Source organism: Homo sapiens, chromosome 2 (genome assembly GCF_000001405.40).
Source record: "Homo sapiens chromosome 2, GRCh38.p14 Primary Assembly".
NCBI lineage: Eukaryota > Metazoa > Chordata > Mammalia > Primates > Hominidae > Homo > Homo sapiens.
This window is the reverse complement of record NC_000002.12, coordinates 152,563,483-152,591,210: the sequence shown is the minus strand read 5'-3', so window position 1 is coordinate 152,591,210 and position 27,728 is coordinate 152,563,483. Positions and strand designations below refer to the sequence as shown.

The 27,728-nt window shown below is 39.8% G+C and overlaps 1 protein-coding gene across 14 annotated transcripts in view, besides 1 other annotated feature; it reads right to left on the bottom strand.

Moving 5' to 3' along the window:
* The window catches only part of FMNL2 (formin like 2), a 314,653-nt gene that overhangs the window by 58,616 nt on the left and 228,309 nt on the right, over positions 1–27,728 (bottom strand). For 13 of the 14 annotated variants that reach the window (XR_241279.5, XM_011510531.2, XM_011510533.4 and 10 more), the window contains 3 exons: positions 15,967–16,075; positions 12,247–12,323; positions 10,162–10,255 (listed from right to left, as the gene is read on the bottom strand). Coding sequence is in view for 13 of the 14 variants with exons in the window: in XM_011510531.2 (XP_011508833.1) it covers positions 10,162–10,255; positions 12,247–12,323; positions 15,967–16,075 (280 nt within the window). In the remaining variant the exon portion in view is untranslated. Of the gene's footprint in view, positions 1–10,161; positions 10,256–12,246; positions 12,324–14,835; positions 14,926–15,966; positions 16,076–27,728 lie in introns of those variants that run through there. The other variant, XM_011510536.4, reaches the window with a different exon arrangement.
* Positions 26,054–26,143: an enhancer, noted in NCBI's record as "active region_16648". NCBI's record gives its function as "activates an Ori minimal core promoter by ATAC-STARR-seq in GM12878 lymphoblastoid cells {active_cell/tissue: GM12878}" and the evidence as "EXISTENCE:reporter gene assay evidence [ECO:0000049][PMID:35858748]".

The following is a 27,728-nucleotide window of genomic DNA, read 5'->3' as shown; positions in this document are numbered from 1 at the left end:
GGTGAAACCCCATCTCTACTAAAAATACAAAAAAATTAGCCAGGCGTGGTGGCACTCGCCTGTAGTCCCAGCTACTCGGGAGCTGAGGCAGGAGAATCGCTTGAACCCGGGAGACGGAGGTTGCAGTGAGCTGAGATCGCGCCACTGCACCCCAGCCTGGGTGGTGACAGAGTGAGATGCTGTCTCAAAAAAAAAAAAAAAAAAAAAAAAAAAAAAAAAAAAAAAAAAAAGTTATCAGAGGGAAAATCTAACTCTGCACAAGAGGGATAGTCTAGCCACGTGAGGGATTATTACTTACCAAACAGTCCAAGCAACAGAAATAAACACACACAAAGGAGTTGTCCCAGTGCCACTCCAAATCCTCTCATTTGCTTCCTTTTAGGGCTTATTACTGTGCACACATATATCTTTACACTTACTCCTATTATACACACACATATATTTAATGTACAAATATACAGACAAACATGCATACACACTGATACACATATATATTATTTATATATGATTTATCTTATCCTTCTTCCTGGTTAACATATCCAGCACTTCATAACTATTTGAACAGCTATAGTTGAACCTACAGGTTTTTTTTTTTTAAAGACAGAGTCTTACTCTGTCACCTAGGCTGGAATGCAGTGGTGCGATCTCGACTCACTGCAACCTCTGCCTCCCAGGTTCAAGCGATTCTCCTGCCTCAGCCTCCCGAGTAGCTGGGACTACAGGCACATGCCACCCAGCTAATTTTTTGTATTTTTAGTAGAGACAGGGTTTCACCATCTTGGCCAGGCTGGTCTCGAACTACTGACCTCAGGTGATCCGCCTGCCTTGGCCTCCCAAAGTGCTGGGATTACAGGCGTGAGCCACACATGCTTATTTAATAAGACGGTTAATATAACCCTGTGTGTAGGGCTTAGTACTGGACTAAATAACTGCTAAAATAAGCTATAATCAAGAATTCCATGACACATAAAAACAATAATTTTTATTTTTACTCAATATAAAACTACTTTAAAAAGCAGCTAGAAGGCCAGACATGGTGGCCCACACTTGTAATCCTAGAACTCTGAGAGGTCAAGGTAGGAGGACTGCTTAAGGCCAGGAGTTCAAAATGAGCCTGGGCAACATAGCAAGATCTTGTCTCCACAAGAAATTATATATATATATATGTATATGTATGTATATGTATATATATATGTATATGTATATATATATACATATACATATACATATATATATATATATATATATATATATATATATATATATATATGTATAAAGCCAGGTGTGGTGGTACATGCCTGTAGTCCCAGCTACTCAGGAGGCTGAGGTGGGAGGACCACTTGAGCCCAGGAGGTCCAGGAGTGAGGGAGTAGAAGAGCAGGGAAGCAGCTCCTTTACACAGGAAGAGCAAACCAAGAAGATCCTTAAATAGGCCTTTCACGAAATAAATGCCAGAATGGCAATCAAATCCTGCCCGGAGACTGAAAACTTCCATTCAAATGCTTTTTAGAGTTGGTGATATTGCCAAAGCTGTCATAGTTTTGACTCCGATTTTCTGATCAGCTCACAGCAGAGTGCTTCATAGTGTCCTTCTGTACCTTAAACCAGACAATATCAAAACGTCAAAGAAATACTTCCCAAGTGAAAGCTCATGTTTAGGGAACAGTACCAGTCTCTGTCTCAAGTTCTGCAGGGTTTAAAATAACACTCAGCTCTCACTGCTTTCTCTTGGGGTTCTCCTCGTTATCTTCCAAGAATATGAAATAAGGGCACATATGCCAACTTTTATAGTTGGCAAAGGGCATGCATTTTAGAAGCGGCATTTTTATAGGAATAGAAATAACACGGCAGCAACACCCTAACACCCTGGGTTTTTTTTTGTTGTTTTTTTTGTTTGTTTTTTTAAGTGGCTGCTACATTTAAAATAGAGGATGAGGTTCCCTATTGCATAAAATTGTACTCAGGCTTGCGTGGAGCAGAAGGGGTCTAATTAAAGTCAAGTTGTGAAGCAAAGCATCTCTACATTTGTACAACAGATAATGTGACAATCTGGTCTGGCTCTGGGCACTGTTACCCTGCTGTACTTCCTCTTTTTTTTTTTTTTAAGCTCCCCCAGGACCACCAAAAAAGGGCAGTCCTGAAGACGTGATAAGTAAATGAATACGGCAGCTGATGAAGCAGATGACTCTCGGTGGAGAAAGGAGCCCAAGGAATGAGAAATATGAATGGTAAGATTTCTGAAACAAATCTCAGACCCCAAACACACCCTGCTCTATCAAAGCAACTGCATGCTGAGCCCACTGTTAATTGACTTTCAGAACAAAACATATGAGCAAATTCTTTATTAATAGAGTCAATCTAAACAGCCAATGTGACTGGGGAGCATATTTGCTCCCTTTAGGCTGTGTGGCACTATGAAGAGCCTGGGATAAGCAAGGGGGCCTTTTCTGATCTCCCTTTAATTTCCTATCCCAATTTTTCTCTTCCCATGCCCTAAGCTCTTTAAAACTGGAGATTCGGGGCAAACTAAAGTCCTTGAAGCTTTATTAAAATACTACCTTCTTGGTATAAAATGACATCCTCACTCCTTTTTATCTGGTGTGACAGGCTGAATGATGTGTTCCTCCTACCCGCCAGGATGTCCACATGCTAATTCCTGATCCTGTTGACTATGCTGCCTTATACAATAAAAAGATAATCTCCCCATCTGAAGTTCCTTAATTTGATCATATCTGCAAAGGTATGATGATATCTGCAAAGGTATGATCAAATTAAGGGACTTCAGGAGGGGAGACTGTCTTAGATTATTATGGATGGGCCCAATGTCATCACAAGGGTCCTTAAAGGAAGAAGGACAGAGAAGTCAGAGAGAAAAGGCAATGTGTCAAGAGAAGCAGAGAGACAGAGACAAGATGCTATGTTGTTGGCTTTAAAGCTGGAGGAAGGGGCTGGAAGCCAAAGAATCTAAGTGGCCTCTGGAAGCTGACAAGGCCAAGGAAATGAAATCTCTCCTGGAGCCTTCAGAGATTACCACCCTATACACTCATTTTATTCTTCTGGTCTACAGAACTGTAGAATAATAAACTGGTGTTGGTTTAAGCCACTAAGTTTGTAGTCATTTGTTACAGCAGCAATGGGAAAGGAATACACCTGGTTAACCTTGTTCACCCTAAACTCTGTTCAGGCACCCTCTCCTATAAGGAGCCTCCTTGAGAGCTCTTTCCCCATCTGCCTCCAGCCCTACTTTGTCTTGGTCAGCTGTTCCTCTTCTTTGCAGAGCATCTTGCAATTACCTTTATAAAGCCTGGTATTACAACTGTCGAAGTATTTATCTGCTTCCTCAACTAGCCTGGGAGGCTCTCTTTTAAAGGCAGGGCATATGTCTGATTCATTTTCATATTCCAATATTTATCAATGTTTCTGACACATAGAAAGCACTCACATTTTTTTCAGTAAGTGAGTATGACTCATCCCTTAACAATCAGGAGGATACCAGCCTTCATTCCCTTAACCAGATGTTAAAGACACTAATGGTAAAGAAATAACTAGTTCATTACCAGAAAATAAACTTGGACATCCTATGAAAATGGCTCCTTTCTCTAGGGAAGGCTCTCACAATATCATTTGCCCATAGTAGATTCACATGAAAGAATTAAAAACTATCTTTTTTATCTCCAATCAAAAAGTTTATAAAGTTTTCAGTCAAAAGGAAAAACCAAGTATTGGATTGAGTAAAGAAGAGGGAGAAAATGAAAGACGAATAACAATAAACATTTTGGTAAATCTCATACAGTTACTGAGGTACGAGACTTACTGAGGTATACAGACTACAATGGTATGAGCCCACAGCTCTCTCTCCCACCCCACATGTTCTGCACAGTAACCCGACGGCCAATCATCAAGAAGAGAAGCCATTGCCTTCCCCTTGCATCCGGGTTGGGCTCAGGGCCTCACTGGGAACCCAGATAACATGGCAGAAGTGACCACTACACGGCTTCTAAGACCAGCTCAGAAGACACTCAGCAGCCTCTGGCTCTTTGAATGGTGGCTCTTCAGATGCTCCTTCCTGGGGCACTCTCCCTCAGAAGCCAGATGCTATGCTGTGAGAAGCCCAAGCCACGTGGAGTTCTACATGGAGGCTCTCTGGTTGATAGTCCCAGCTGGGCCCAGTCCTTGAGAGGTATCATAGCTCAAAAACTAGGTATGTGGGTGAAACAGCCTCCAGATGGACTGGCATCCCCAGTCAATCAGGTCTTCCCTGATGAGGCCCCAGACAAAACAAAGAAGAGACAATCCCTGCCATGCCAGCCTGGCTTCCTGACCCACAGAAGCCAGGAGCCTAAAAAAATGAAGTGTGGGGTACTTTCGTATCCACAGCAAAAAATTGCAACAGTTGATAAACAGACAAAAAAAGTTACTCAGCAGCACTAACACCACATTAAGACTAGGACTTTGCTTCCTAATGCTAAGGAGGAGGACCAGTCAAGAAGAATCTTGGTTAATTAGATCAATCTAATTCTGGCCTGATACCATGAAATACATACATGCTCTACGGCTGTGGCTCCTACAGTTTGAGACTTGAGAGAATACATTGCTTATAGTTCAATGAGAGACTGAAAAATGTGAGTACCCTTACTTTACCACTTAGGAAGTTATCTGGATGGTCTCATGCTAGATTTACAATCCTATACCCTCAAATGCTTGGGAGGTTAGATTACATGGGATTAAACTCAGAGGGATGCTGGAAGCACACCAAAATCTTCACTCTCCTTCCTGCCCAATTTGGTCCACTATAAATAAAACTTGACAGGCTTTCTTAGTTCAACTTAATAATGTGTAGCACGAGTGCCTTCAGATGCCCAGTAGCTAAACCACACATCAGCTTTCTTAGGAAGCCTTCTAGCAACAGGCAGAAAAAAGAACAACTACTGCCAAGAGTGCTGTGCACAAGAGTGCTGGTGGCCTCGAGTGACTCATTCAACAAGGCTCCATCTTTCTGTACTGGAAGGTCAAAAGTGGGAGGGAGTTGAGCCTTTAATAACCAAACTCAGGCTTTTTTGCTAAAGCCAGATGCTGTCATTACAGAAGCAGATGAGAATACAGTTATAATTGATCCGAAATCCTGATGAATTCCAGGTGCACCTCCCAGCAGCCTGGGAGAGCTGGTGCCTCAAAGCCCTCAGAGGATTTTATTACTCATGTCATAGTGGCTGTTCCACTGTAGAGTCTACAGGGCCTCAGTACTTTTCCTCTTTGACTTCAGAAGGAAGCATTTTTTTTTTTTTTTTTTGCCAAACCTTTGGAGACACTTTTTAAAAGCAAGCCATTTTCTCAAATATATCAAAGAATATAATGGAAAAAGTAAAAAGACTAAGAAAAAGTTGAGAGCAAGAGCTAGGTTGAAGACTTCAAGGTTCCCCTTGGTAATGAGATGAAGCGTAGTGTTTAGAAATCTGAAGTGGGGACTGGTTGAGGTCCTTAACCAGTAGATAAGAGTTTTATGAGCCAGCAGATTGCTAGCTATGGTCCATGTCATTTGGAAGAGAAGAAAAAGCATGACCAGAACCCCAAATGGTATTTCTGGTGGCGCAGCTTCAAAGGCAGAGCCAGAGTATAGCCACATTTTAGGAATGCCTGCCCATTTTCCAAGCCTGGTTCTCCAGGCTCCTTGTCAAGTCTGTGCTTTTCTCAACATCTTTTCGATCAACCCTTTCCTCTATGTGTTAGAGTCAGTTTCTGCTTCTTGCAAAGAAGACTCTGAACTAATATAAATATCCAAAGGGTGGTTTTTACTTCCAAATGTATTTTTTTCTGTTTGGTAGTCTCGGGGCTCAAAAATATACACTGCCACACAACTAAGAAAACATCAATTTAGGTAAGATGGTCATATGTCCTTCCATGGGGCTATTAATAAATTAGCCAATAAGAAAAAATAGATGACTCCTTTTTCTCACCCTGGTCTTTATTTCAAGACCATAAATTTTCGTTAAGAGATATTTCAACACAAAACCAGATGTGTTAATCCCCTTAAAAAATTGTTTTTTAAGGAAAAAAGAATTCAAGGAGCACAATGGTTGACTGTTAATGATTTAGTCTTCATCTACTCAATACACTCATGTTTTCAGGCATGTCACAAACCACGCACAGTATAAGCTTACTATCTGTATTCATGTAATTAAGACTCATTTGTCATCATGTACATTGAAGCCATGTATGTGTTTGCTCAGTGACATCAGGCTTAGACCCCAATCCCACCCCCACCATAAGCAAAGCTTTGGGTTAACATTCTTGCCACCATCACATACCATTAAACTAAAGGTGCTCCCTGCCTTCCTAAAACATGCACTTCAGCTATTACAAGATTTGTAGCAAGATTTTTTAAGGAAAAAAAATATAAGATTGGGATTCTAAATATTCATCAAAACATGAGAAAATGATGTAGTCATACATAAAAATCTTTCAACAGCCAAATAATAACTTCCTTTAATTTACATCTGAACTAATTAATTAGTGGTGGTCAAATTAGATAGAATGGATTTATTGGCTCAAGAGGTAGAGGGGGAAAAATCCTGCTACATAAACTACTTAAGATACATGGCCTTTTAAATGTCTTTCTAGCATCTGGTTCCATATTGCGTTAGTACGCTTGGCTATGCTCTAACAGTGATCAAAGCCCAAAGGATCTGGCTACTCTAAAGCATATTACTTTATTTGCAAAAAATAGATGTTGAACTCCCCTACTTCACCCCTCATTCCTGCCAATAAAAACAAAGATAATCCTTTCATCCTTCTTAGGCAGATGAATGGAATCCCAACTTACTAAAAAAGATGAAAAGCTTTAAAAACAATCTTCTCGAAGGCAAAGACTCTTCTTTGGTCCTCCTTCCTGGTATCCTGGTACCTGGTATGGTACTCTCTCTGCCATATGTGGCTCAAAAGGAATTATTCACTGAACAAAACCCTATCTGCACAGGCATGCCAGAATATAATAATGAATATTATTATAAAACCAGAAGATTCCAATGACATTTTGGTTAAAGAGGTTAAAGAATTCACTTTACTATGATGTGAAAAAAAAAAAATTCACTCACGCAAAGATGGGAGAAAAAGAGGAAGGGATTTAAGAGACTTTGAGCTGTGAGCGGCATTGCATGTTTTAGAAAGCAAGATCAACACAGAATAACACCTTTTGCACCTCAAGATTGGATAAATCGGTTGAGGCTCTTCTGACCTATCTATAACAACTAAGTTTGTCGGGGGCATGTTGCTACCTTGTCTTCATTCCCATGGCTATTAGGATAATAATCCATTTGCTTGGTCTGTCTATATGGTTTTTAGACAAGAATAATGCAGGATGGTTGCAGCAGAATAAAAAATTCTAGGCAGCAGTTTCACATGACTAAGCAAAAGGAAACTGCTGAAATAGCTGCAGAAGCTTGGGGCTGATAAGACCCTGAAAAACAGGGTGTGGGCCAAGCTGGCAAAGACAAACTGGGTCCAACATGGTGCTGGATTTGATCCAGGTTTCTCCTAGGACCTTATTCTATGCTCATTCACATATTCAATCATATACCCACCAGTGCCATGACAGTTCCAGAACATCGTTATTTGAGGTAAAAATGGGTAGCACCATAGTTCTGAGAAATCTCCAGCTTCTTCCAGGAATCTCCGTGAATACTCCATCCCTTGGTTAAAGAAATCCATAAAGGTAGCAGCCCCAAACCACCTTGTGTGACTCTCTCAAGCATGCCCACACTCCCCTTTCTTGAGTGTGTACTTTTTGCTTTGCAATAAATCTCCACACTTTCACTATTTTCTAACTCATACTTGAATTCATTCTTGTGAGGATGTCAAGCGCCTAGACACCAGCAGGGTTTGGGGTCCCACCAGCATTTGAGGACCTCCCCTAGCCCACTGCTATCACCTTCTATCAGATGCAAATGCCTATGCCAAGGACAGTACCTGAAGACCTACCATCACTCCTGATTAATTACAGAAATGAGGCCAGTTTTGGTTAAAGCTCTAAGAATTCAATGTCAAAAGTAATTTAGTTCTCATTACTATTGTCCAGGTATTAGACTTAGGATTACATTTTTCTTCAATTAAGCACATACTACACCCTAAATAGCTAAAGCATATATAAGTCTGACACCAAAGAGTTAAAACTCAATTCTGCAAGTATCTGTGGGCCTACTATGCATAAGAAAGGTACTCTATCTTACCTAGGAGAAAAAAATATTATCATTCATCTCATGAATTCCTGGCTTTTATTCTTGTTCTATACAAATATATCTTTAGGATATAATCTGACCTGCAGTATAATCAGATTCCTGTTATAATATGAGTCATTATAACAAGGGCCACTGATAACTATATAGTAAATGTTTCCAATGTGAAAAGTACTCAGCATGCAATATTTTCAAATATGACCTAATGATAAAGATTTGGGCGTTATATGAGCTGCACATACTGTTTCTCTTTCATATTAAACCCATCCACCCAAACATACTTCCTTATTTATAAATGTAAAATTTATATATTTATACATGATATATAAAAACATTCACAGACAAGCATTCGTACATTCTTGTCTCTAAAATCTATTTGTCTTGGAAGCCAGAATATGAATTTAAAGATTCACTATTATTCTTCTTCATTCTCTTGGAAGCTGGATATTTTTTCACTATCTTTGGGGCTCAATAGAAAGAAAAAAAAAGATAATATTTGGTTGTCTCCACAGTTGGCATTTACAAAATGGATAATATCAAAATCTTAAAGAATGGACTAGCAGTAAGGAGGCAATGCAAATAAAGGAGCAAGAGGAGTGTCTGCCCTGTTCACATCTTTGAAGCTTCCCAGCCTATGCAGAGGCTCACAGGCTGGTGTCTAGAACATTTGGCAGCTGGGCAGTAAATCCAATTAAGGAGGTAGGAGGCAGGGGAAATAGCTCCGAAGTCCTGTCTCATTTCAGTATTTCCCTTATTTCCTTCAAGGGATTCACAAACAATAAGGCCACAACTTCAACACATTTCAAGGAAGTTCAGGATCAGGAGCACCAAGTCCTGTTCCTGGCTCTGTCACTTATCTAGCTATGTGACCACAGGTAAACTATGTATTTCAATTTCGCTAAAATCAAGATATTAATATTTGTCTCAAAGATGTTCTTATAGAACCAAATGATGCCATGCATGTAGCTGGTATAGCCCCGGCATATAGTAGGTTCTCAATAAATACTATCAGAGTTTCTAGTTCAGAACCTTTCAGGAAAGAGGAGAGAAAACAGTCCCTCTGTGACCTGGATTTTAATCCAGCTCGGGTCTTAATCCAAAAGCATTTGGAATTAAATGGGACTTCTAGCATAACACACAACTTGGCGAAGGGTCCTATTGTAACCTGGGCTTCCACCTGTTCTCTAAGGACTACTTTGTAATTTCTCACCTCAAAGTAGCCTCTGATGTCAGGCATATACCAGGGGAACAAACAGGTACTCTTCTTGGTCCTACAACACTGCCCACTACCCTGTGGGAAAGCAGCTACTATCTAGGCGGTGATGTTTGGATACACTGGGGCAGGGCCCGCGGCGGTGATGTTTGGATACGCTGGGGCAGGGCCCGCGGCGTCATATTGTCTTTGTGTAATCCCTCCTTTCTTTGTGGTCAGACAGTCTCCGTTTCCAACCATGCTCAACTGTTGCATTATTGTTTGGCTGTGACAAGCCCACTTAAGCTTACACGCTCCCAGAATCAGTGCCAGTATTTGCCAGGTTTTTCATAGCATCCAGCAAAAATAAAGTAACTGTGATGAAAGAGTTCATAAAATTTGCATGGTGGACGATCAAGTGCCAATATCAACCCCAATGAAAACCACATACATGTAACAAAACCGGTTTTCAAACTGGATTATTCCATGTTCCCTAAAAACATAAAAATTAAAACAAAAACAACAACAACAAAAAAAGAGTACTGTGATTATTTTTAACTTATCCTAGAAATAAGATACCAAATTTAGACTAAGTTCATTACATTCCTCTCAGTGAGATCTTAGAAATTAACTATTATATTCCTTAGGCCCTAGGATAAATGAAAAGGTAAATAATTCCGTTCAAAGATGTCCAAATGTAAGATGTGTGAGTATTCTTATGAAAACTATAGTGTAGCCTACCTCTTTAAAGTTATCAAATGCTGATAAAATGATTTCATGCCCGCCTCTGACAAGACAAACGGCTGCCAACAGTTCTAAGACAAGGGCTTTTGTTCTGCCAAAACAAGAAGAAGAAAAACACAAATCAGTGAAAATGGCATGATGAGTCAGCTGTTTCTTCCTTCCAAGATACATGAGAATAAAACATTTGCCCTTACATTTTTAAAAAATTTTACTAAGGTACAGTTTAATCAAAGTACATTTTTAAACCTTTACTGACTACTACATATGTGATTTGTCTAAGATGGCAAATTTGGAAGGTATACTTACCAAAAAGACAAATCACTCACTAATGAAAACTAGTTCTGAGAAGAATAATCTCTTAGACCTATCATCAGGTGACTCAGTACAATACAGATGAAAAATGTTTACTGGTACGCTAAAAACAAAGGGAATGGGAATATGCTGAAAAACAAACTATTGATTAAGTATTTGCTCTGGTTTTAGAGACAGTGAGAGAACATTTGCAAAAAAAAAAGTTCAAAATCAACTGAAACTCATGTTCTACATTTCAAATCTGCTCATGTAGGGACAGATCCATAAATCTCCCACGAAAATACAAGTTTCTGTCCTTTCTTCTTCCTACGCAGGACAACTGGAAGGAGCTGGATTACAGCTTTACTAGCTTTACTAACACAAGAATATTTTCTTTGACTCAAGAAAATAAAACTCAATCTGAAATATTTTTGGAAGGAGAACATGGAGATACACTCTAAGTTTTCAAATTCAATGTCAAGAAAGAAACAGCATTGTTTCTTCAATCATAAGACCACTTAAGTATTTCATTTTTTTTCTGGAATAACAGCTTTCACCAACTTCTAAACAAAAACTGTTCTGATACTCCACAATGTCAATTGTCTTTTAAAAAATAATGTCTTCCCTGTAGTAGAAGGCAGAGACACAGAAGCATGGCTACTTAGGACTCTAGTAAACGAAGGAAGGAATCGCACAGTCGCAAAAGGTTTAATCAGGGGAAGTTTGAAAGAATAATATTCAGTAAAGAGGACTTGATAGTTCGTGTTGCATTTTCCAAATCAGAAATGGCTAATTTATAAACAGATTTTTGAATTAACAGTTTTCAGATATTTTGTCTACAGAGAGGTATTGGATGAAAAGGAATTGCACATTTGAAGTACAGAATACTTCACCAAAATGGAAAGCACATTAAAATAACTACAATTGATGAAGACTGGCTTTTACGACTAACGTGTGATGTGAATTATATCTGCTGCTAGCCTTTACAAGGTGGTGAATATGAAAGGAAATCTGCATATACAATTTTATTTTTCTATTTCTTTCTTTCTTTATTTTTTGAGACAGAGTCTTGCCCTGTCACCCAGGCCGGAGTGCAGCGGTGCGATCTCGGCTCACTGCAACCTCCACTTCCTGGGTTCAAGCCATTCTCCTGCCTCAGCCTCCTGAGTAGCTGGGATTACAGGCATGTGCCACCATGTCTGGCTAATTTTTTGTATTTTTAGTAGAGATGGGGTTTCACCATGTTAGCCAGGCTGGTCGCAACTCCTGACCTCAGGTGATCTGCCTGCCTCGGCCTCCCAAAGTGCTGAGATTACAGGCATGAGCCACTGCGGCTGGCCACTACAATTATTTTTCTATTTTCGTTCAGTAATTAAAGCTACATATGTAAAGTTATCAAGCGAAGTGTAGACGAAGGATGGTGGTTTTAGCTAGCTTCCAGCAATAACTGATATACGTAAATCTTTATCAAGACTCTCCTGGCCCCCGAGTCCTGGCAACCTGATCCTCTCCAAATTTAGCAGCAAGGATGCTGGAAACCAGGCCTCAAAAGAACAAAAGCTTGAGGAGAACAGTGAAGGGCTAGAATTGTCACCAGTTGCTCAACTCTGGCCCATCTAAGAATGTAACTTGGCTAAAAGGAAAAATTCTTACACAGCCAAAGAGTTTATAGCCAATCTTATTTCAGAGATTAACACTTGAAAGTTTCCAAAGTCAAACTTGGTTAAGTGTTGACTAGCCCTCTGTTTTCTCTAGATAGATTTAGACTTGCGTACTACAAAAGCAGCTTACCTGGGATTCTTGTTGTTCAGGCTTAGTGCAATCTCATTGACAGCGTGTGGATGAGACATGACCATGTTGAAACCATACTAAAATTAACATGGAAAAAAAAAGAAACACAAAGCATTGGGAGACAAGTTAGGGAACTGTCAGTATTGATTTAAAACCAAAAACCCGAAGTATCTACCTAATGAAACTTACACCATTATAAATGCACTTATGTCTCTAGTATATCACTGTCAGAGCATATTTCTCTATTAAAAATTTCAAGAATGCCAGATGCAATGATTTGTGCCTCCAGTCCCAGCTACTCAGGAGGCTGAGGCGGGGGGTACAGCTTGAGTCCAGGACAACAAGACCCACATCTCTCAAAAAAAAAAAAAAAAAAATCGGCAATGATGCTATTATCAAAAGATTATCTTCCCATTCTTTACAAATGAACTACATGTTTCTCTTTATTAAAATGATAAAAAGGCTCTAGCCCAGTGATTATTAACCTTGGCCGCTCCTTAAACTCCCCTGGAAGACTAAACAAAACATTTACTCCGAATCTCAATTACAGGGACCTGGCACCTGAGTTTTTAAGCTTCCAGGGTGACTCCACAGTATACAATAGATATAACATACAAAATGTGTGTTAACAGACTTTATGCTACTGGTGAGGTCTCCAGTTATATACAGATTTTTGACTACACCAGGGATCAGTACCCCTCACACCCCACAAAATTCAAGGGTCAACTATATTCTTTCTCCTCAAAACTCACTCTCAGCTCATCAGAGAAAACATCCAGAAGTTCCTATACCACATCAATCTATCCACACAGATTTGTGGCTTACCTCCTCACCTCCTATTAAAGAGGAACTCTTCTGTGCTCCAAACTAAGGCCAACCCCTCCCATGAGTCCTTCCTCCATCCCATTCCCTCGCATCTGCTCACGAACATCATATGTTCCAGAAATTCCTCCCTTCCCCCTTATTTTTCCCTCTCCATAGACTCATTGCCATTAGCATAAAAAATGCAAATTATCTTAAGTAACAATAAAAACCTCTCTTGATACCACAACCTGTGTTCAGCCACTGCCTCTCATTTCTCTGCTATCCTTTACAGCAAAACTCCTCCAGACACTCAGTATAAATCCTCACTTCCTGCTCATTCTTGAAACCACTCCAATCAAGCATTTCACCCCCACCATCCCAATGAACTGTTCTTGCCAAGATCACCAAAGACCTGCACTTTGCTGAAGCCAATGGCCAATCCTCACTCCACATCTTACTTGACTTAGCAGCATCTAACAGAGCTGAATACTCCCTTCTCCTTGAAATATGTCCTTCACTTGGCTCCTACTTGGCTATTTTTCAGGCTCTCTAGCCAGCTTTTCTTCGTCTCTCTGACATTTAAACAGAGAGCCCTAGAGTTCATATTTTGGACTTCTTTACTTCTCAGTCTACCCCTACTGATCTCATTCACCTTCCTGGCTTCCTATGCCATTTATATGCTAATTACTCTCAAATGTCTAACTCCAGCCTAGACCACTGCCTTGAAATCCAGACTGGCATATCCAACCATGCACCTAAGATCACCATTTGAATGTCTAAGGGGAATCTCAAAGTTAAAATCCCCGAAACAGAATTCCTAATGATCTCCCTCAAATCCATCTATCCTGCAGTCTTCCCATCTTTGTAGATAGCAAATATATCTCACAGGTGCCCAAGACAAAAGCCCTGGTGCCACCCTCTACTACTCACCTTCTCCCTCATATCCAATGCTGTGGCCTTTAACATCAAAATAAAACCAGAATCTGACCACCTCTCATCATCTCCACTCCTATGATCCTAGTCCATATGACCACCAAAGCTCACCTAAATTACTGCTAAAAGCCTCCTAAATGGTCTACCCCCTCTTGCCTTTGCCTGGCCAAGATCAAACCTAAACACAGAAGCCAGCATGGTCTCATGTTAAATGCAAGTGTCAGATTATGTCGTTATAACCATTCAATAGCTTTCCACTCATAGTGAAGTCAATGTCCTCTCAGCGGCCTCTAAAGCTCTACATAATCAAACTCCCTGTCACATCTGACTTCATCTTCTACTCTTCTCCCTCTTACTCATTCTGATCCAGCCAAGCCTCCTTTCTGTGCCTTGGGCAAACCAGACATTCCTGCCTCAGGGTCTCTGCACTTGCCCTTTTCTCTGCCTAGAACCTTCTTCCCCTAATATCCCTCCCTTTGCTCCCTCATTCAAGTTGTTACTAGATGTTACCCTCTCAGTGACCCTTCCCTAGCTGGCCTATTTAAAACTCGCACACATTTTCAGCAGTTCCTATTTCCTATTTTTTCTACAGTACTTAGTAATGGTTCTCTGGGTTCAAAGTGTTCCTGGGTCCAAATCTTGACTCCACTACTAACTAGCTATGTGATTTTAGGCAAATTACCAAACTTCTCTGTGTCCCAGCTTCATCAGTAAAATGGGGAGAGTAATATTATTGATCTCACAGGGCTATTTACATGACTTAAGAGGTTTAAAAGCACTAGACCTGAAAAGTGTAACATGTAAGCATTAGCTTTCATTTCATCATTATTATCTGGAACATATACATTTTACCAATTTATTTGTTGGTCATCTGTCTCCCCTCCCTGGAAAGTAAGTTCCCTGGGCCACAGATTTATTCAATGCTGTATTCTCAGTTGCCTATGTGGAACAGGGGCCGTCTGGCAAAGTTCAAAAAAAAATGGAAAGAATAAATGCATGTTTCCCTTCTTAAATTTAACACAGCACCTTTTGTGTTGGTTTGAACTCTAACACCAACCCTCGACCTATGTATTTATCTCCCACTTCTACTTGGACCCACTGTAGCATCCATATTAATGGAAATCAAATCCTATTTCTATATTTGAATTCCACTTTTCTAAGTGGAACCCCTGTACCCCTGCTTTGCTGACCTAATTAAACTGATGACCCTACCAGTTCACGCTAGGTACTACAGGCTCTAACTTCCACTTTGTTGTTAAGATTAACCCAGCACACGTGTTCCACCGTAACTTCCAGTGTTTTTACAGTGGGGTCAACCTGCATCTCAATTACCCAAAGGAGGAATCTGCATTTTCAACGATCTTCTAGGTGCTTCTTATAAAGATTAGGAACCACTGAGCCCAACTGTCAATAATTGTAACTTTTTGCCTGTTTGCCATATAACCCTTTGAGAACCACTGTCTCTATCCATTCCTGGTGTTCTAGAGTTGTTTCATTACTACCTGCAACAGCAGCTTATTCAATCTTTAGTAGTCACAAGCATTCACCAAGCAATCTAGGTAAGTTTATCTCTATAGGAGGAAAACACCTTTCCTTTAAATACGTCACAAATTATATATATTTATTAAAATATGAGAGCAAAGAATTAAACCTTGAGAATTAGGATGAACCAGGCCTTTCTTTTTTAATAGAATCTCGTTAAATCCTGGCATTTACTTCAAATAGAAATAATACAAAGAAACCAAAGAGAACAAAATCTGAGTCTGTTTTTTTTTTTGTTTGGTTGGTTTTTCTTCTTTTTTAAAAAAATTTCAACAGCTTTAGGGGTACAAGCAGCTTTTGGTAACACAGATAAATTGTAGGATGATGAAGTCTGGGCTTTTATTGTACCCTTCGCCCAAGCGGTGTACACTGCACCCAGCAGTCATTTCTGAGTCTGATTAATTCAGGTTTTTTTTAAAAGAACCAGAAGCTCCAACATACCTGATAATTCATGATGGCACGTAAACACATGATACAGACATGCACATCATCTTTCTTACTCACTAATCTTGAATTTTTCAGAGTTCTTCTGCTTGGCAATGTATTATATCTACAAACAAAAAGAGAAACTTCTATAAAACAACAGGTTACTTTCTTAGCATAGGCACATGCACTTAACAGACACTACTCTTCACCAGTACCAAAACAAGGATTGTAGGTTAAAACCGCCACCAAATGGCAACAGTAAGATTGATTTCAACCTCTAAAATACAGCTTTATAATGTGTCACTTTGCCATAAGCCCATCTTGGGTATGCTTGTTAACACACTTTTTGGAGGTCTCAGAGACTGGTACAACTTTAAAAACTAATCACACAGCCAATGAGACCCAAGCATATATCATCTTCTTAATCTACATCTGAAGTTCTTCCCCTTCCTCTATCTTTCTTATTTTAACCTCAGTCTTGAATTTCTTTAATGGAATCACTTGTTAAGTACATGACTGTTTACTAGAAAGAGTTTTCATTTTTAGTTGATAGCAATAGCTTCCAGTGTAAAACAAAGTAATCTAAGTTTTAAAAAGAAAGAGTAATTTGAATGGAATCAACTGCCTTTTGTTAAATTGTATTCATATGCAGCAATGATTGAGAAGATACACTAATGAAAACCAGTCTCTAAGGAAAATGGGAGAGGTTATTCTCTACAGTGTCATATTTCTGCATCACTTTGAAATATTAATACAGTTTCATTATTCCAGCAAGTAGACAAACCTTACACATCTGTTTCTTTTCTTTTTTTTTTTTTTTTTTTTGAGACAGAGTCTCGCTCTGTCACCAGGCTGGCGTGCAGTGGCACGACCTCAGCTCACTGCAACCTCCACCTCCCAGGTTCAAGCGATTCTCCTGCCTCAGCCTCCCGAGTAGCTCGGACTACAGGTGTGTACCACCATGCCCCGCTAATTTTTGTATTTTTAGTAGAGATGGAGTTTCCCCATGTTGGCCAGGATGCTCTCCATCTCTTGATCTCGTGATCCACCTACCTCGGCCTCCCGAAGTGCTGGGGTTACAGGCGTTAGCCACCGTGCCCAGCCTTATTTGTGTTTCTTAAGAGGTGTAAAGTAATGTAGCACATTCTTTCTTTTTATTTACTGATCCAGTTCTTGATCTATATTGCAATAGTCTCTTTCTAAGAAGCTAAAATGTCCCTGTCATTATTTTATGGAGTGTAGAAAGCAACAAAATTAATTAGAATAATATTCTACTTCCCAAACATTAACACAAAGGGCTTCTATTTGTTGCAGTAGATAGCTAATCTCAAATACATTTTCTGGATCAACACTTAAAATACATTTAATATGACATAACACATACATACTTATTAACATTTAAAGACTTTAGAAAATACGCAATATATAAATGTCAATAAAAAAATGAGAAACTTGTTTATTAGTTGTATTCTATGCTCAAAAACAATAGAGCTAAAGTTTTTCTAAAATGTATGGTATTTGGTTTAAAAATTATTTTCTCCAATTATTTGTTTATATAAAAATAGAGTAGTAATAAAAGGTAGTATCTGAACTTGTATGTCTAAAATAATAACATTATAAATTTAAAAACCTCCATCACGACCAATAACAGCAACAACAAAATCATAGCACTGAAGAGCTATGGTATCATTTACTCTAATCCTTTCTTGATACAGTTAAGAAAACGGAAGCCCAGAGACATTACATCTACATAGCAAATAAGGGATGAGATGAGACCAGGCAAAACCAGAAGTCTCCTCACTGCGATTTAGGACAGTCACTTTCCACGAGTTGCTCATCATCAACCTGACTCATCAACAATCTGCTGGGTGATCATGTGAAAAAGCTACCGCCTACAGCTGTCTGTGCTGGCTAGTTCTTTATCAAATGTTCACATCCTGTCATCCTGGCAGCATTTTCTGCTTCAGTCCTAGATAGGTGTCATTTCTCACCCTGAATAATTATTTCATCATGGTGAATTAAGGCTTAGTTTGTCAAAAACAGCAGCATATAGGCATCTCTTACAGAACACAGTGGCCAATACCTTGGTAAGCAAGTTTCTCTTTTTAAATCTTTATTCTATATATGACACTTATTAGGAAAGTGAGGATGTTTTTTGACTTAATAGGAAATTTTGCTCTATATTTTAGAATCATTTTAAAAGGATTTCCTCTCACTAAATAAATGCACCCTGAGAAATGTCATAATTCTTTACCTCTGAAAATTTACTTTCAAAGGACTCAACTTAGGATGATCTTAAACATACAAGACTAGATTTTAGGGACTGTGCCATGGGTTAGCATGTACATTAATCAATTCTTCATCATGCATATTTTATGGAATCTGACAATTTTTGTAACTGTATATTTGGTTTCTTTGCTTTAATTACCATGTGAGTAAATGACTACTTTAAAAAAAAAAAAAAACAGGTTTTGAATTCAGCTCCAACGCATGATGTTGATACCATGTATTTTTTGGAGACAAGGGTCTCACTTTGTCACCCAGGCTGAAGTGCAGTACCATGATCACGGCTCCCTGCAGCCTCAGATTCCTGGGCTCAAGAGACAATGCCCAGTTAATTAAAAAAAATTTTTTTTTGTAGAGACAGGGTCTTGCTCTGTTGCCCAGGTGGGTATCGAATTCCTGGCCTCCCAAAGTGCTGGGATTAAAAGCATGAGCCACTGCGCCCTGCAGAAGCTCACACTATCTAATAACCACTTCCCTGAGGAGATGGCTTTACTGACCCTAAAACAGCAACAGAATGAGGATTTACAAGATATTAGCCACTTTACCACAACAAGAACACCTAGACAAGGTAAGCAATCTAGAGGAAATGGCCTCTGGTGCTCACCAGCCACAGGAAATCAAACCAAATCTCTTTTTTAAGCCCCAAAGTTGGCTTTACTAAGTACCTATTGTTTATGCTAAACATTACTGAGATGGTCTAGGTTTAGACCTTAAGATAGAGAGCTAACTAGATAAGGGGATCATCACACTCTTCCTCAGTCACCCTGTAGGATGTCTCCTAGAAGGCCTTTTTAGATGGAGAGCTGGTCCTGATCTACCCGATGAAGCACATTTGCAGATTTCTGTGATGAGACCAAATCCCTCCACAATACACAGGACTGAAGAACCAAATATCATTAGAAAAACTCAGCTTTGAAAATCTTACTACCTGGTGTTGCAAATGTCCACCTAGATAACAATAAGGCTGAATTCAGTGGCAAACAGTTTCCACAGAAAAAAAGATGAGGCTAATTGATTAGTGCCCCAAAACTCTACTAAATAAATGTCACACCGATTCACTTAAGATTGAAAAAAAAATCACAGCAGTAATCCGTCACCAATTAACATTCAAACCGCTCAAATGAAACTAGTTATAACTATAAAATAATGTATATACATGATGCTGTTGTATAATCATCTTAACACAAATAAATCAATTCAATATACTATCTTTGAAAGAGAGGATAAGGCAGCCTGCATCAGGTCCTTTGCCACAGCCCTCTAGGCTAAACTTTCTTCGTTTTCCAAACACTGATCATCCTAGTTTACCTGTTTGAATAAACTTTCTACAAAGGCCTGAGCTTTGCAGGGATTAAGCCAGTGACTCAGTAGGAGGCATGAGTACCTCTGTGGCAAACTAACACCCTTGGCATGTGTTCTGTTACAGAATTACATAAAGTGAAACGGTTACTATAATATTTTCTTCCTGAAGCTATTATGAAACTTCACATAATTTGAGCAGAACCAAATTGGAGAGTGTCCCTCCAATTCACTGTGGTATACTTTAAAAGCTCCAGTGAGAGGCAGCATCAGTTTCTCCATGGACTCCCATGGATAATTGGCACACATGAGCTTTATTTAGTCCTGTCCCATGTAATACATCTTGCATGATCCCAGACTCTGTCAACAGCTAATGGTGCATGTTCCCTAAACTGAAATTTGAAATCAGTTTCAGCAGCAATGCACTCCCCTGGGCCCTCCTCTCCACCAGCAGTTCTCAAATCTCAGAGAAGGGAGAGCCAGGAGAGGAGAAGGAGGAAAAGGAGGAGGCAGAGGTGCTTTGAAGACACTCCAACGCCATCCTGCCCCTGCCAGAGGCTGCCAGGCTGCTGGTTTTCACTGTGATTGCAGCTACTGGTTTTCAAGGCTACTGTGGAACTGGAGAGGGAGGGATGGGAATGAGAACAAGTTAAAATGCCACAAAACTTCCTGCTCTGAGAATCAGTCCCTTTTCCTGAATAGATGCTCCCTGGGTTACTGCAAGACTTTAATTTCTAGAGTTCTGAAAAAGTTTATTCCAGTAATTTTTGCCAGTTTTCTTATCACTTTTATGGATGAGAACATTTTCAGAGGGCTTAATTCAACCATTTCACCAGCATTCCATAACAGACATTTAGAGACCTATTCATTCTGAAGTGTAACTTTTCCAACCTATTCATTCTGAAGTGTAACTTTCAAGTTGATGGGAACAGGTCTAAGAAGGTGATGGAACAATCAGGTCTCTCTGGTGACTTGGGGAAGGTTCCCTGAGATGTGAGGATTGGAAAGGACTCCCTCAGATTCCAAAGAGAAAAACAGGAAATGAAATATGGAGAAGTTGTGACCCAATTCCTGGACCACTGAGGCTGATTATCTAAATGCCATGCTGATAGCCTTTCTTCTCCCAGGCTGGCAAGAAGAGCCTTTGGGGCCCTGGATGCTTGTACACAAAAGAAGGGCTTCCCAGAGACAGAAAATAGCTGAGTCTAATTTTTGGAGCTCCTGCCATTTGTAGAAAAATACAATAGGGAAGGGATATCTAGGGCTGATTTTGTACGGAAACTAACAGCACCAAATTTCCCAGCCCCTCTTCTACATAAACTTAAGAGAACTACCTGCTAATTTTCCACTGAACTAAAACTCTAAATGTTACCCTAGCATTCAAAGATGAGATTCTATCTTGGAAGAGCTGCCAGTTAGAATTCACAAAGCTCTGTGAATGCAGAAAGAAGCAGATTACAGATTACAAAACTGACTTAAGATCATAACCAAACAAATTACTCCAAACCCTTTTATTAGTGTTATGCATATCCCAGCAGATACCAATAGTTATATGTACATAAAATATTAATAAAAGAAAAAGTTATAACTCAATGCTAGTATGAGTGATAGACTTTAAAAAACTAAGCGATTTTTGCAAATATCTTTTCTTTTCTTTTTTTTTTGAGACAGAGTCTCACTCTGTTGCCCAGGCTGGAGTGCAATGATGCACTCTTGGCTCACTGCAACCTCTGTCTCGTGGGTTCAAGCAATTCTCCTGCCTCAGCCTCCCAAGTAGCTGAGATTACAGGCATGTGCCACCATGCCAAGCTAATTTTTTTGTATTTTTAGTAGAGATGGGGTTTCACCATGTTGGCCAGGCTGGTCTCGAACTCCTGGCCTCAAGTGATCTGCCCACCTTGACCTCCCAAATGCTGAGATTACAGATGTGAGCCACCATGCCCAGCCACAAGTATCTTTTTTTTTTTTTTAACTTCCTTTTTTTTTTTTTTTTTGAGACAGGGTCTCACCTTGTCACCTAGGCTGAAGTGCAGTGGCATGATCTCCGCACATTGCAGCCTTGACCTCCCATGTTCAAGTGATCCTCCTGCCTCAGCCCCCCAAGGAGCTAAGACCACGGGTGGCACCACCACGCCCGGCTAAGCAAATATCTTTTAAGAAATCTACACAGAACATTTCCTATTTAGTACTCAGGTGACAACTGCACCCAGCCACCTACTTAATGCTCAACAATGAATCTATCAAGGAGCACAAATGGAACACCTCAACCTGCACAGCACCAGCAGCAGGCGCTATAGGGAAAGAAGCTATTTTTGTTAGTGAGCTCCAACCAGCAAGCGAAACCTGAGTTTTTGACAGGAGCACAAAAAGCAAGCAAGGCCAGCAAAGAAAATCCGGAGAAGCAGCTCTCATGGATCTGCCGAACCACAGATCAGGAATTTCTCTTGCCAGATACATGTTCATAGGCTGAATTATGTATAAAGCTAGTTAGTGTTCTGGTTAAAGTCATGTTTTGCTGTCTTTAAACCACTACCCATCACAAAGGAGTCAAAAAAAAAAAAAAGATTGGGGCGGGGGGGGAAGCTACAAAATTTTGAGCTAGTCCTTCATGTTTAAAAATATAAAGTAGTACATTCTTAAAAATAATAACAATGGTGGTAAACGTAAGTACTAAGTGGTGTGTCTATGAAAATTCTTGGAGTAGAGGAGAAAGACCTCTACTCATAAGCTAAAAAGCTAGAAGAAATCAAACACCGGATTTACTCAGAGATTTATATCTGTAATGATATGGTTTGGCTGTGTCTGTACCCAAATCACACTTTGAACTGTAGTTCCCATAATCCCCATGTATCGTGGGAGGGACCCAGTAAGAGATAATTGAATCTGGGGGTGGTTACCTCCATGCTGTTCTCATGATACTGAGTTCTCAAGAGATCTGATGGTTTCATAAGAGGCATTTCTCCCTTTGCTCAGCACTTCTTGTTGTCACCATGTGATGAAGGACATGTTTGTTTCCCCTTCCACTAGGATTGTAAGTTTCCTGAGGCCTCCAGAGCCATGCTGAGATGTGAGTCAATTAAACCTCTTTCCTTTATAAATTACTCAGTCTCGGGTATGTCCTTATAGCAGTGTGACAACAGGCTAATACATGTAAAGCACCAAGCACTTAGAAAACACTAAAATGGGCCAGATGCGGTGGTTCACGCCTGTAATCCCAGCACTTTGGGAGGCCAAGAGTTCAAGACCACCCTGGCCAATATGGTAAAACCCTGCTCTACTAAAAATACAAAAATTAGCTGGGTGTGGTGGTGAGTGCTTGTAATCCTAGCTACTTGGGAGGGTGAGGCAAAAGAATTGCTTGAACCTGGGAGGTGGAGGTTGCAGTGAGCCGAGATCACGCCACTACATCCCAGCCTGGGTGACACAGTGAGACTCCGTCTCAAAAAAAAAAAAAAACCCACCAAAATGGAAGCCGTTGCTCACCCAGTAATGTCCTGAAGTAACTGTGATCACCCATCTATTGTCTCAACAATATACACTTATTTCTAGACATTTAGACTTATTCTAGTATGTGAGTTGTGTATATGTCTGTCTTTCTCCTTGAGCTTCAATACCCAGACTACATAATACCGCAGAACCTTGAAAGAATGTTTCCTGAATTGAACTAACCAGGCTTTCCTGGAGTCTAGCAAAAAGGTTTTCCACAAGCCTTCTATGGAGCTTCCATGCCAACATTTGTGAGATTCATAATATCTAAGCCCTAATGGGAACAAGTAAAAGAAAAGCTATATTTTCTCGCTGACAAAAAGCATTTTTGTAAGGAAAATGCAGTCTGTCACACTATTCAGATCTCAAACTAATATCTACCTATAAATAAAGAATAGTATAGAACTCCCTCGGAAGCTGACATAAGGGTTCAACCCACTGAAATGCAACACCAATGAGGTATGTTACAGAATTTGGCAGAATTGTACCAGTCTTTTATGGTTCCAAGGTCTGGGCTAATAGAACTTTAACCAAGATTTGGGGTTTTAGGTTTCCTCTTTCTTATCCTTCAGACATGACATCACTTGGGCATATTTTTTCTATCAATTAAACTCATAAAATATATGATGCTAAAAAAAGGGGCCAGGCAGTTTTCTGACTGTCTCTACAGCCAAAAGAAATAGAGCTGAAACAGCTGAATCCAGATAATTCAAAGGAGAGGTAGAGGGATCAAGAAGAGAAAGAGGGAAAGAAAGAAAAAAGTAAACAAAATTCCTAATGAACTTTTAAATCAGGCATTGAAACGCTGTCTATACGTCCCATTAGAGGACCAGATAAGAGCTAGATCAGAGCCTCTAATCAAAGGTTTCAGTGCATACTTTTTGAATGGAGCAAATGAAAGGGGAGGCTGGCAACCCATCATATGAATGGAGAGTCACTATTAGCCTGATTTTTCTTATTTTTCATTATATTCCATTTGTCAAAGGCATTTGCTATTGGGGGGGCTAATTAATCAGGACATAGCCCCATGTGAAATGTGTCCAAGGAAACCATCTCACTCCTGTGACCTTTAAATGGAAATATTTCTATGTTCTTCCCATATTATCCCCTCTTTTCAAAAACCAACAAAATCACTGCCAATGAGCTGCAGTGACAATTTCACAGACTAACCTTCAGAATAGTACATAAACTGTCTCTAAACGACTTGCAGCCAGGCTCATCTCTTCACTGTCTCCTAAAGGAAGCATGCGGTCTTACCACTGAACCTCCGCTCAGATCACTCTCCTGACTTCTCCCTTTTCCCAGCCACCCCTCTGGGTCTTACTCATTGTTGTTTCACATCCACACCAAGTCTCGTGAATCACTCCCTAGGTTCTGCTGTTTACTCTCACCTCTACATTTCCGTATTGTTAGAGTTTGTTACACTCACATGACATTTCATATATGTGCTCATGTACACAAACATGTGTACACACAAACATATATATACTTAAGTCCCTTGTCAGCCACAAATCATATACAAATATATTATTTAATATATCTTTCTGTATCCTTAACCCTTGGCAAGGCACCCTTTACAAACTAAGTCCATAATCAGTCTTGCCCATGAAGGCACTGGACCACAGCTACAAGAATTTGCTGAGGCCTCTTCAGTGTTTTTTCCAATCCTTGATAAGCCACTTCAATTCAGATCCTGCCTCCTTCACTTACTGTTCGACCCAAGGCAAGTTGTTTCACTACTACTTCAGGCCCCAGTTTCCTCACAGTGGTATAACAGTAGCAATCTCACAGAGGCAGTAAACTGTGAACAGCAAATCCCCCGAGGCCCTTAGTACAGTGGCTGCCACACAACAGACATTTAAGAAAAGGCTTTCTCACCAATAAAAATTACATCAACGCTATCTGTATCTTTGTACCACTGAAAAATACTTTTAATAATTACTTCTATGAAAACCATCGCCAGGAATGGGACTGCAGTGTTAAAAATATATAAACAAGGACCTACATTTGAATTCTTCATCTCTTCACGTAAATCCACTAAGGATACAAGTGGTAAATATTCAGATAAGGACTATTCATGAAATGCCATTCCATTAAAGTAATTATCTTGGCTAGGCATGGTGGCTCATGCTTGTAATCCCAGCACTTTGAGAAGCTGAGCAGGAGGACTGTTTGAGCCCAGGAGTTCGAGAGCAGCCTGGGCAACATAGTGAGACCGTCTCTCTACAGAAAAAATTAAAAATTAGGCAGGCGTGGTGGCACACACCTGTAGGCCCAACTACTTGGGATGCTGAAGGGGGACGATTTCTTGAGCCCAGGAGGTTGAGGCTGTAGTGAGCTATGATCGTGCCACTGCACTCCAGCCTGGGCAACAGAACAAGACCCCATCTCAAAAAATCATCGTCATCATCATCATCATCATAAGAAAAACAAACTCTTACTCTGGAGGAGTGTAGAAGAAATATTAATGGTAGTTAATGTATTAAAGGCAATGTGGACCTTGGTGTTGTTTTTAAAGAAAAGATATTATTTGAAAATAAACCGTTGCAATGGGAATATGTAAACTATGGGCATATTCAGGAAAGTAAAAGAAGACAAAAAAATTTTAAGGAAAAAATGAGCGGGATTATATAATTATTTTGAAAAGATCATCCTTGGTTACAAAGATCAATAGCAAGGGTGAATCTTGGTTTCTGTCTTATGACTCTCTCTCCACTGGACAGCTCTCCACCTCCATCACAAAGCACCTGTTCCTGAAAGGACAGGTTCTTCTCTCATTCCCTAGCACACCTGATCTTTATATAGGGCTGTGCTCAACTCATGTTCTTTCACTTCCCCTCCACCTGGAGCAACCTTTCCTTACCCTGAGGACCAACTCTGGACATTGCCTAAAGTCCAGTTTAAATTTGTCCCTTCCTCCAAACCCTAAGTTAGTACTCCACCTCTTTCTTTAAAAACTCATTTACTTGCTATGTCATTTCTTACTCGAGTTAATAGCATTAACTTGGACCTTCTTAAAAATCAGAAAGTATTTTCTCTTGCATCTGAAATAACACAGCCTTTGTCTTCATAGATCTGATGTGCACATATGTGCCTATATGGCATTGTTAAATTTAGCTAGCTCTGTAGCCGCACTGACAGAAACCTATCTTAACCGAAGGCACACCACATTCTAATTTTAGAAGACAATACAAACCAGGTCTCTACTGCATCAATAGCAACAGTTTCCCTCTAGCCAAGCTGACAAATACATGGTAATACAGAATCCCATAGCTGATATGACTCAAGGGGTATGTTATGACATAAAATGTTTAACAATCAATTTTGAATAATTAAAAAGTAAAGTATGACTACAAGGAGGAAAATGTGTGTCAACATTAGAATTTGGTTAAAAAAAAAAAAAAAAAAAAAACCAACCTTGTATTTTAGAACGCAGTGTTTGTCTTTTTTTTTCTTGAGATTGAGTCTTGCTCTGTCACCCAGGCTGGAGTGCAGTGGCATGATCTCAGCTCACTGCAACCTCTGCCTCCCAGGTTCAAGCAATTCTCATGCCTCAGCCTCTCAAGTAGCTGTGATTACAGGTGTGCACCACCACACCCAGCTAGTTTTTGTTGTTGGTGTTGTTTTTTAGTAGAGACAGAGTTTCACCATGTTGGCCAGGCTGGTCTCGAACTCCTGACTTCAAGTGATCCTCCCACCTTTGTCTCCCAAAGTGCTGGGATTATAGGCATGAGCCACTGTGCCCAGCTGAACACAGTGTTTTTCATTTTTTTCTTTAATCATGCCCATTTACAATGTGTTTTAAATTTCCTGAAATCTCATTTTTTTTCTTCCAAGATTAACCAATCCTTTTGCCAAGTGGTATCAGATAAGATTAATATGTCTGTCTTATTATCGGGAGATTAAAAAGAAGAAACTAAAATCTGCATTTGGATACAGAAGACATATACTAATTAAACAAAGCTACCAGAATAAATCATTTTCATAGAGCATGAATTTATATACTTTTTCTTTTTCAAAAAAAAAAACAACCTGTGCTATTAAAATGCAAGATACTGTAAAGGTTCAAATTCTAAAAATGAGGAATCATAATATGATAACAGAGTGTATCAAAGTTTAAAAGGCAGCAGGCTTTATTCTAGTATGGCATGTCAGCACAAAGCCACAAGGTTATCATATTATAACATGGAGAGCAGTCGGATTGCCCTGCCAGCATGCACTGTGAACTCGCTTGGATGTCGTTTTCACCCGAGACTTATGAGATTTTCCGGTTTGAAGCCTCATCATCAGTATGTAAACTGAAGCTGCTCCAGAGGCAAGAGGGGAGAAGCAGCTCTAGTGGCAATGGAACTGAAAATACTCAGGCAGAGAAACCAATCTGGTGGTGGCATGAGAGATTAATGAAACCAGAGAAGAAGGAGACAGCAGGATGAGAAAGGACAAAGTAGAAGAGGAGAAGACAATCAGAAATGAGATGGCTAAAAGAAAAGGGAGGATGGTAAAAAGAAAGCCAAAAGTGAAGGCAGCGTGTGGAGAAGAGAAAGAAAGGGGAGAGAAGGAGGAAAAGAAAAAAATGTAAACAATGTTTGGGTATATGAAAAGCAACATGTACCATATGCCTGTACTTCTGATTGCTGTTTTTATGTCACAGATGCTATATCCAATGACCAAATACAGAATTAGAATCCAGACATAAATCCATGAAC